We start from the raw sequence: 11,102 nt of genomic DNA, 5'->3' as shown, positions 1-11,102 counted from the left end.
AGCTCACTGCAAGCTCCACCTCCCGGGTTCACGCCATCCTCCTGCCTCAGCCTCGCAAGTAGCGAGTAGCTGGGATTACAGGTGCCCACCACCACGCCCCGCTAATTTTTTTTTTTTTGTATTTTTAGTAGAGACGGGGTTTCACCGTGTTAGCGAGGATGGTCTCCATCTCCTAACCTCGTGATCCGCCCGCCTAGGCCTCCCAAAGTGCTGGGATTACAGGCGTGAGCCACCGTGCTGGGCCCAATCTGATTGTTCTAAGTTTACCAACCTTCAAATGGAAAAAAAAAAAAAAAAGTGCTGGTGAAAATCATAAAAAATTAAATCTGGGAAAAGGAGAGCTCAAATATTGCACAGACATTCTTAAAATGAGGATAATTCCTACTGTTTTATTATCTGGAGTGTTTATTTAACTATAGTAATTTGTATGGCAAATAAAGTACTATGGAATGTATTACATAAATACATGCATTTCAGACAAAAGGATACTACTTTGCCCACTGCCATTGTTTAACAGAAAACTGTTCCAGTCATTTTGAAAAGAAAAGAGAAATGTTTCTAAAAATCTTTTCTTCTGGACATATGGGTCTCCATTTTAGGTAGCCTGAGTATCATATATTTTCTTTGTCATTTTTTCCTCTCCCATGGTTAGTCAATTACATCTTTCTGAACTGCATGTTAACTTTAACTAGGGAAGTGAATGAAAAATACGAGTTCAGAACAGTTGTAGTCCTGTTTCATTATAAGCTAGAATAGTACTGTGATAAGTGCTTTACAGAATAGGTTAGACACTTGACAATGAATCAGGTGACGCAGTGACATGTCATCCCATTATATGTAACAATTGTTACAGAAAAAAAAACACCTTGTTTACATTCTAGGCATATTTGTCCTCAGGATTAGTAACTTAAAATAGATAAGGTAAAAGGGAAAAGAAACATTTATCTATGACTAATGGGTGTTTTCATTTTTAGCGAAAGGGCCATGTCTGTACTTTTCAGTAATAATAGAATCTATCTCCAACTGTCAGTGTTGAGGAAAAAAAAATGTCGTTCATATAAAATGCATAGAAATAAAGGGGTTGCTGTCATAATGCTTTTGAGAGAGCACTGTCAAATCTCTCTAAGCCTTTAGTTTAAATGTCATTTCTAGTCAACTGCAGAGATTTTTTAAGTGTTTCAGAACTGGCATTTTTCCTAGGGGTATATTGGATATTTCAAACAATTTGTATTTTTTTATAAAAGACACTCTATTGCCAATTTTTGTAAGATGCCTTCCCACATCATGTCATTTGTAAATTAATTGTGGAAGAAAATATACAGAAAATTTTCATTGGTTTTCAAGTGGTAGAAAATGGACAAAGATTGCAAGGATAAGGGCTTCATCAATAAGACAGTAAACCATATAGGGAAATTACAGTGGGATGACCCTCTCTTCTTACTCTGTATAAAGAAGGGTTAATTGTGAGTCAAAATTGTCCTGTGACTCCTCCAAAGGGAGTCTATTATGAAGGATGAAAATGATTCATTACTACACTAGATAGACACAAAAAGGCCATCCGGTTATGGTAAGACAACAACTACCTCATAGGGAAATTCTAATATCTTAATCTCCTTCACTAACACTTTCTAGTACAAATACCCGTATAAATTTGGGCTATTGTCTTTCTCACTTGACAACTTATAATTCTTTATGTCCTTTGTAGATGTGTGTCATAAAAGAGGTCTTTTCTTTCTTCCCAAAATACTTTGGAGTGGTTTCTTCCACCGGGCTTGGTCTTAGGTAGATTATAGTCTTGTAAGCAAAACATTTATGAAGTCATTTTTTTGTCACCTACCAATCCAAAAACAAAATTGCCTTTTTAAATGACTAAAACTATCCACAATAGTAGTCCCCTCTATATATGTCAGTTCTTGTTAATATGTGTATTTCAGTTTATTTATTAACCTTCACAACTCTTGCTGTAAGTTATTTAATAGCCACCAAATCAGATCAAGAGAATTAAATGTATGCTGTGTAAATAAAGAGAAATGATTTGAAACTGAAATCAAATGGAGATAATGATTCCATCGTTATATGTATAAGTCTGAGTCCAATCTAAAGATAGGAACCACAAATAGTTTAAATGAAGAAAGTTTAACAGAAAACATTATTAAACTATGATAGAGTAACTATAAAACTATCAAGAGAACTTTAAAGAATTTCCTAGGACTAAAGAAGAGTACTCAAGGAGGAACAAACTTGAAAGGAAGCCTCTTCCTCTGGGTTGGGGTTCAGACTTCATTGGAGAGGACGTGGTTGTCTCCCATTGGATGGTAAAGTTCACATGGTTGTGGTAGAGTTTCCAGGAAAACAGGAAACAACTCTCTGGGGTACAGATGACCAAGGCTGGTGAGCAGTCATGCAGAGGGACTCAGAGTCCCACTGTAGGATGAGTACTGTATAGTACATGGTACAAGGGAGACAAGCCCCTTCTTCCTGAAATGAGCCTCCAGCATATTTTACTGACAAAGCTTAACATTGTTCTCACTGTAAAGAAGTCCTTAAATGGTGCAATCATTATAATGAAAGAGATACTGAAGAATGAACTCTTTGCTAAGAGGCAACACATTGATAAACTGGCACGCTAAGATACTGAACACTTTTATATTTTGTCTTAAATATAAGGATTCTATTTTTTAAAATATTAGGCCAAACAGCAAATCTCTGATTTTGGTTTTTTGCTTTGCTTTTTTGAATTGAATTATTTCCAATAGGTGATGCAATGAAAGTTCAGACATTTTGCAAACTATTAAATTAGTTAATTGGTGTTTCAGTGAATGCAATGCTTGTATAAGAACCATTAAATATAAAAACATAAAGAAATACCTATTTCCTCTTGTATAATTTTTTAGAAGTTGTCTCAGACAAAGAGGGTATAGTGAAATAAGTCTAGAAATAACTTCTAACTTCTAGTACAGTCCTTTTTTTCTTTAACATGATTCAAATCATGGGTTGCTTGAAATTTAATATTTGTTACTATGTCGACTCACCTTGCCTATCCAAACACCTAAGAAATGGGAAGATGATTAACTGAGAAACCATTCAGCATACATTATCAATGCAATAAACTTAAATAGATAATTTGAAATTCCAACATTTGCACTGAGACAAAGTGATATAGAGGAAATGGAGTTATTTTTGAAGCTGATATCTGATATTGTATTCCACCTCTTCCATTTCTTAGCTGTTTAACCTAGAGCATGTTTTACTTCATTATGTGACATTTGAAATGCAAACGACCTTATATATGTATTTTTTAAAAATAGTACTAGGTGTAACACTCATGAACTCTAGGAAATAGAATATTAATAGGACCAGTGAAGAAACCTGTGAGCTCTATGTCCATCCCTTTTACTTGTTTATATTCTAAAAGCTAATCTAAAAAACATTCAAAGCTAAACTGAATTTTGTGTTTATTATTTTACCTTTTTGTTCTTACAGATTTATAGGGAAGAAACAGTCATTTCTAAATATTATTTAGATTGTCCTTGTTAAAATTACCATAATATAGTTTCTACTTTTTTAAAATCTTGCCTCATTCTAAGATTCAACTATACTAGTGTATAACAGTTCATTTTTTTTTCTCATTTGTATAATATCCAGTTGAGTCAATCTGAAACTATTTATACATGCTTCTATACATGGTCATCGTTGTTTTTAATTCATTGTTCTTGGTTAGAATGCTGGTTTGAATATTCTTCTACATATTCCTCAGTAAAAAGGGGAAGATTCCAAATACTTTATTTACTTAGTGTGGGGAATACCAGGTTGTAGGCTATGTGCATGTTATAATTTCAAAGAAACTGTACCAATATACACTTCTATCAGCGTGGTGTAAGCATCCCAGTTGTTCCACATTGTCAAGACACCAGATATTTTCACATCTATGGATATGAAAATATGGTTCACCTTATACAAAAATTAATTCAAGATGGATTAAAGACTTAAACGTTAGATCTAAAACCATAAAAACCCTGGAAGAAAACCTAGGCAATACCATTCAGGACATAGGCATGGGCAAGGACTTCATGTCTAAAACACCAAAAGCAATGGCAACAAAAGACAAAATTGACAAATGGGACCTAATCAAACTAAAGAGCTTCTGCACAACAAAAGAAACTACCATCAGAGTGAACAGGCAACCTACAGAATGGGAGAAAATTTTTGCAATCTACTCATCTGACAAAGGGCTAATATCCAGAATCTACAATGAACTCAAACAAATTTGCAAGAAAAAATTAAACAACCCCATCAAAAAGTGGGCGAAGGATATGAATAGACACTTTCCAAAAGAAGACATTTATGCAGCCAACAGACACATGAAAAAATGCTCATCATCACTGGCCATCAGAGAAATGCAAATCAAAACCACAATGAGATACCATCTCACACCAGTTAGAATGGTGATCATTAAAAAGTCAGGAAACAACAGGTGCTGGAGAGGATGTGGAGAAATAGGAACACTTTTACACTGTTGGTGGGACTGTAAACTAGTTCAATCATTGTGGAAGTCAGTGCGGTGATTCCTCAGGGATCTAGAACTAGAAATACCATCTGACCCAGCCATCCCATTACTGGGTATATACCCAAAGGATTATAAAACATGCTGCTATAAAGACACATGAACATGTATGTTTATTGCGGCACTATTCACAATAGCAAAGACTTGTAACCAACCCAAATGTCCAACAATGATAGACCAGATTAAGAAAATGTGGCACATATACACCATGGAATACTATGCAGCCATAAAAAAGGATGAGTTCATGTCCTTTGTAGGAACATGGATGAAGCTGGGAACCATCATTCTCAGCAAACTATCGCAAGGACAAAAAACCAAACACCACATGTTCTCACTCATAGATGGGAATTGAACAATGAGAACACATGGACACAGGAAGGGGAACATCACACACCGGGGCCTGTTGTGGGGTGGGGGGAGGGGGGAGGGATAGCATCAGGAGATATACCTAAGGTTAAATGACGAGTTAATGGATGCAGCATATCAACAGGGCACATGTATATATATGTAACTAACCTGCACGTTGTGCACATGTACCCTAAAACTTAAAGTATAATAAAAAAATTTAAAAAAAAAGAAAATATGGTTCACTACTAGACCTAATTTTTTTTATTATAAAGTTTCCTGATTATCTCTTTATATATTTATTTGCTGTTATGTATTCTCTTATGTGGAATTCCTGTTCTATTTCTGGCCCACTGTTCTACTTGTTTATTGAACTAGTTTTTATTTATTTAGTATGTGAGTTACATAATCTCCCAGTCTTGGGCTTGTCTCAGGAAATAATAGATTTTTGAGATAAATTGAAATCTGTAATTTTAGTTGAATGTATCAATATTTTCTATTCCAATTATTGTGTCTTTTGTAAAAACTTTCTTCTCTCTATAAGGTCACATGGCTTTTTATTTTCTTTTGAAAATTTTGCCATTATTTTTACACTTGAAATTCACTTAGTATCAATTTGTATTTATTATATTTTATCTATGTGGATAACTAATGGGCTCTGCAGTATTGTCGCTGGGTTCAGCCTTTCTCAGGAGTATGCAATATATCTTTATAAAAGTGTTAATATATGTATGAACCTGTTTCTTAGCTGTTTATACTGGTTTATTGATAATTTTTGCTATTATTTCACCTGTGCCATATGATATAAATTACTCTAACTTCATAATGTTTCACTAATTGTTACAAAAATACATAATATTCTTTTTCTAGGTTTACTTCATTCTAAGGTTTGCACATTTTTCCATACATTTTAGCAGTAGCTGGTCAGTTTCCTTTAAATACTGAAATTTTGACTGGAATTACATAGAATCTGAAAATCAGTTTGAGCAAAATCAACCACCTTAATGTAATAAGTCTTTTTTCCATGAAGAATATATATGTCTTCACTTATTTAAGTGTTTTTAACTTTCTTTTGATAAATTTTAGCATTATCTATATTAATATTTTGAATATATTTTATGAAAATTATGCTTTATTTTTGCTGCTCTGATTTTTTGTTTAAATTATCTTCTTTCTTATGGACATAGAGTTGATTTTTATATATTGATTATAGAAATATCCCCCTGGCAAAACTCTAGCATTAATTCTAACCATCTGCCTGTATGTCATTTTTGAAATGTTCTCTAAATAGTTTTAGTCTTTTCTTTCCAAAGTTTTCATGTTTTTTGTTTGTTTACCTACATTGGAGAAGATTTTCAAAATATTGAATAAGTTTTAATTTTGAAAATTTTTTCTGACTTTTAAAAGATGTTTCTTGTGTTTGACCATGGAAACAGTATTTGTAAGGTTTTTCTAGGTACTATTCAAGGGTTATTGATATGGTCAGGCTTTCTGTTCCCATCCAAATCTCATCTTTAATTGTAATCCCCATAATCCCCGGGTGTCAAGGGAAAGACCAGGTGGAGGTAACTGAATCATGGGGCGGTTTACCTCCATGCTCTTCTTGTGATAGTGAGTGAGTTCTCATGAGATCTGATGGTTTTATAAGGGGCTCTTCTTCCTTTGCTCTGCACTTCTCCTTCCTGTCGCCTTGTGAAGAAGGTGCCTTATTCCAATTCACATTTCACCATGATTGTAAATCTCCTGAGGCTTCCCCAGCCATGCAGAGCTGTGAGTCAATTAAACCTCCTTTGTTTGTAAATTACCCAGTCTCAGCCAGTTTTTTATAACAGTATGAAAATGGAATGATACACTTATCTACAAAGAGAGTATTATTCCTATCTTCTCAACATTTTTCTTTCTCCCTTCTTTATTTTATTCTGTTGTTATACAGTTGAAAACATACCTTACTAAATATAATCATATATCATTTTCTAAGTATATAAGGATGTACATATTTATCAAACTATTGCATTTTCTGTGTTTCACAGTTTTTATCTATATCTTTTAAATTATTATTTTGTTACATTGTTATTTTCATCATGATTTAATATACTAATGTATACCACAGGACTCCAAGTGAATTCCACTTATCTGTCCTGCTTTTTGGATACTGTCTCTGTGCACTTAGCCCTCAAATTTTAGGGCTCATCTGTTTCTTCTCTCTCAGGGATTGCTGGCTTCTAATGCCACATGCCCAATGTCTTGAAGATTGTTGTGTGAAGTGGAAGTAAACCTCATTCCTTTTACTCCATATTTTCTAGAATCACATGTCATATCATAATGTTTTAAAATATTTAAAGCCCACCAGAAAGCTGATAATTTAGAGAATGGTAAAGGAATTTGAACAAGAAAATGATTAGCCCCTCCATGTAAAGAAAAAAACTAAGTTTGCTTTTATTCTGAGAGGAGTAGTAAAATAAGGTTGGAGATGCTATAGAGGAAGATTTTTTTTAAAAAAAGGTTGAATTTTTGACAACTGTCTAAAGACTAAGTGCAGTCTAGCATATTAGTTTTAGGAACCCTAAGAGAACTACCTAAAGTTACATTTTTAAAAGTTAAAACCTGACCATATTCTCTCTATAAGAAAAACATTTTAAATATAAAGATACAGATATGCTGAGAGCGAATGGATGGAAAAAAGATATACCATACAAATGGTAATAATAAAAATAAGAAAGCAAAATGGGTATAAATCACATAAAATAGATTTCAAGACAAAAAGTACTACATAGACACAGTAAGAATTTCATCTGATAAAAGTGTAAATTCATAAAGAAGAAATAAATGTGTGTGGGCTAATAAATAGGTGCTTCATGAAACATGCCATAAAAATAACAAAATTAAATGGAGAAATAGGAAAATGCAAAATTATGACTGGAGATGTTATCAACTACGGTAGACAAAATTCTAAAAATTTTCCAATAAGATTCCTGTCCTTTGCTAAATCAGTCAAACACTAAGCTAATTATTGCTACAAAGTGACTTTGCAAATGTAACTAAGGTTACCAAACAGCTGACCTTAAAGTAGGGAGATTATCCTAGACTGTCTAGGTGGGCCCAGTACAGTCACGTGAGACCTGAAAAGCAGAAGAGGAAAGCAGAAAAGTAAGCCAGAAAAAAAAGCATAAGAAGAGAAAGAAAGTAAGTAGGAGATGGGGATGAAGCCCAAGGGAGGTCAGAAAGATTTGAAGCATGAAGAAAACACAAACTGTTATTACTGGATTCTGAGATGGAGGAAGGAAATCCTGAACTAATGAATGGCTAAAAGCAACTTCTCACCAGTAGCCAGCAAGCAAATGGGGAACTCATTTCTGCAACAGCATGAAAATGAATTCTTCGAAGAACCTAACTGAGATTGGAAGCAGATTCATACTAAGAACACCCAGAAAGGAGCACAGCCCTGCTGACACTTTCCTGGGGCCTGTGAAACCCAGAGAACAGAAATAGCTGAGCCATGCTTTACTTGGACTGAGGAACTACAGAGCTGTTAGTTAGTAAATAGGAATTGTTTTTAAGCCACTAAATATGTGATAATTTTTGACAGCATCAATACAAAACTAATTCAACATATTTTCTAAGCAAATGATAACGCAACTAGAGAAATAATTAGAAGAGGCATAGGTCTGAAAGACACAACCACCACCTTTACTTAATTGATACGTGTAGAAGAATACATCCAAAACTTGTAACATACTTGTTCTTTGTGGATACACATGGACTATTTTCTAAGTTAGACCATATTGTGGCCCATAAAAAAATAATAAACTAGAAAAGATTAAAATCAAATATGGTGTTCTCCGAACATAGTAGAATTAAAATTGACACCAATTGCAGTAAGACAACTAGGAAAACTCCAATTATTTGAAAATTAACAACATAATTCTAGATAATTCATGAGTCAAAACAGAAATCATAAGAAAAATAAAAACATTTTTATAACAATATGAATAAGAAAATATGAATGATTAAAGTGAAATTTATAAAGATGCATGTTTAAAGAAGAAAGTTCTAAAAATCAATAATCTAATGATAGAAGTTCCCACCTCAAGAAACAACAACGCAAATTAAACCAAAGTAAAAAAAAAGGAATATAATAAAAAATAGAGAATGTTAATGCAATTAAATATTAGTAAAGATCAATATAATTAATTGGCCTGTAACTAGGCTGATAAAATACAAAATCTAAAATACAAATTACCAATATAAGTAATGCAACAGAATGTCATGACAGATCCAGCGGGTTAAATCTTAAAATACAGGATCATGAAAAAGACTGGATAATATGAGAATATTATGAATAAATTATACCAAAACATTTGAGAATCTACATGAAACAGAAAAATTCTGGAAAGATACACAGTGCCAAAACTGACTCAAAAGGAGATAACAAATAGAAATCTAAATATCTATGCCATTTAAATAAATTAAATTGTAATAAAAATCTCCTAACAACTAGGAAACAAAAGTCCTGGCCCAGATTGTTTCACTGATAAACTCTATCAAATATTTAATAAACAAATAATACCAGCCTCAAAAGGATTTTAGGAAATATAGTTAGAGGAAACATCTTCCAATTCATTTTGTTAGGTCAGCATTACTCTGATACCAATGTCAAACAAAGACAACAGAAATGAAAACAGATTTTTAAAAAATCCTTATAAAATGTTAACAAATGAATTGCAGCAGTTACTTTAAAAAGATAATGCATCATGACCAAATATGGTGTATTTCAAATATTGAAAATATTCTATTAACTTTAGAAAATTAATTACCATATTTAACCATATTAATAAAGTGATATGTAAATGAATGCCCAAGAAATATTTGATGTAATTCAAAATCTATTCATGACAAAAACCTCAGCATACTAATAATTGAAGAAAACTTTAATTTATCAGTGGATAAGGGCATCTATAATATAAAACCGTTATATAATCATACTTAGTGTTAAAATCTGAATCCTGCAAGTCAGGGAAAAAATGCAAAAATGTTTGTTCTATTTTCATTCAGCATTTAATCATAATTCTTAGCCAGTGCAATAAAGCAAGGTAAAAAAGAAATGTTGGCTGGGCGTGGTGGCTCACGCTTGTAATCCTGAAATGCCTAACCGTGTTTTTACTTTAACTGGTTACTTTGAATTTTGTCCTGCCTGTCTCTTTAATCACCTAGCCTTGCTTCTCATGTAAATAAGACTCTCTCTAGCTAGGAAAGCCGGACAAACTCCAACTGACCCCTTAATTTACAAGACACTAGGGCTCCTCACCCAAACCCCTTTTGTGAGGAGTTGGCCTGGGTAAACAGATCCTCAGCATTTCAAAGGAGCCCAATTAACTGATAAGGTACCAACACCAACAACGTATTAAGTTCCCAGGAATTTTCTCCAAGAGATAACAACATAAAACCTTGAGTTCCTGTCCGGCATAGACCCTATATCTAATTATAATAAAAGATTTAGAACCTTGCACGTGGCACCCTTGCTCTTCTTGTAACCATTTGTCTTTTAAATTATCACTCTGTAACCATTTTGATTCTTTTGATTCTTGCATGTTTTTACTTCTGTAGAATTATTACGTTTGAGTCCCCCTCCCCTTCCTAAACCTAGGTATAAAAGTTAATCGAGCCCTTTCCTCGTGGCCGAGAGAATTTTGAGCATTAGCCGTCTATTTGGCCACTGGCTTAATAAAGGACTCTTAATTCGTCTCAAAGTGTGGTGTCTTCTTAACTCGCCGGGTACAACAATCCTAGCACTTTGGGAGGCTGAGGCAGACAGATCACCTGAGGTCAGGAGTTCGAGACCAGCCTGGCCAACAAGGTGAAACCCTGTCTCCACCAAAAATACAAAAATTAGCCGGGTATGATGGCACACACCTGTAATCCCAGCTACTTGGGAGGATGAGGCAGGAGAATCGTTTGAACCTGGGAGCCCAGGAGGCAGAGGTGGCAGTGAGCCGAGATTGCACCACTGCACTCCAGCCTGGTCAACAGAAACAGACTACTCCATCTCAAAGAAAAAAAAAAAAAGAAAAAGAAAAGGAAGAAAATAGAAGAAGAAAAAGAAATGTCATATCAAACAATTGAAACAAAAGAAACAAAACTGTTTTATTCAGACTGTATAACTGTTTATATAGAAAAATCCTAAGAAATCTACACA

General features: G+C 33.8%; 1 annotated feature.

The window, feature by feature from the left end:
- Positions 9,894-10,684: an enhancer, noted in NCBI's record as "OCT4-NANOG hESC enhancer chr2:35401452-35402242 (GRCh37/hg19 assembly coordinates)". NCBI's record gives its function as "activates a minimal SCP1, AML or CMV promoter by ChIP-STARR-seq in naive and primed H9 embryonic stem cells {active_cell/tissue: H9 hESC(naive and primed)}" and the evidence as "EXISTENCE:reporter gene assay evidence [ECO:0000049][PMID:30033119]".

This window comes from Homo sapiens, chromosome 2 (assembly GCF_000001405.40).
Source record: "Homo sapiens chromosome 2, GRCh38.p14 Primary Assembly".
Taxonomy (NCBI): domain Eukaryota; kingdom Metazoa; phylum Chordata; class Mammalia; order Primates; family Hominidae; genus Homo; species Homo sapiens.
This window is presented reverse-complemented; position numbering and strand designations above follow the sequence as displayed.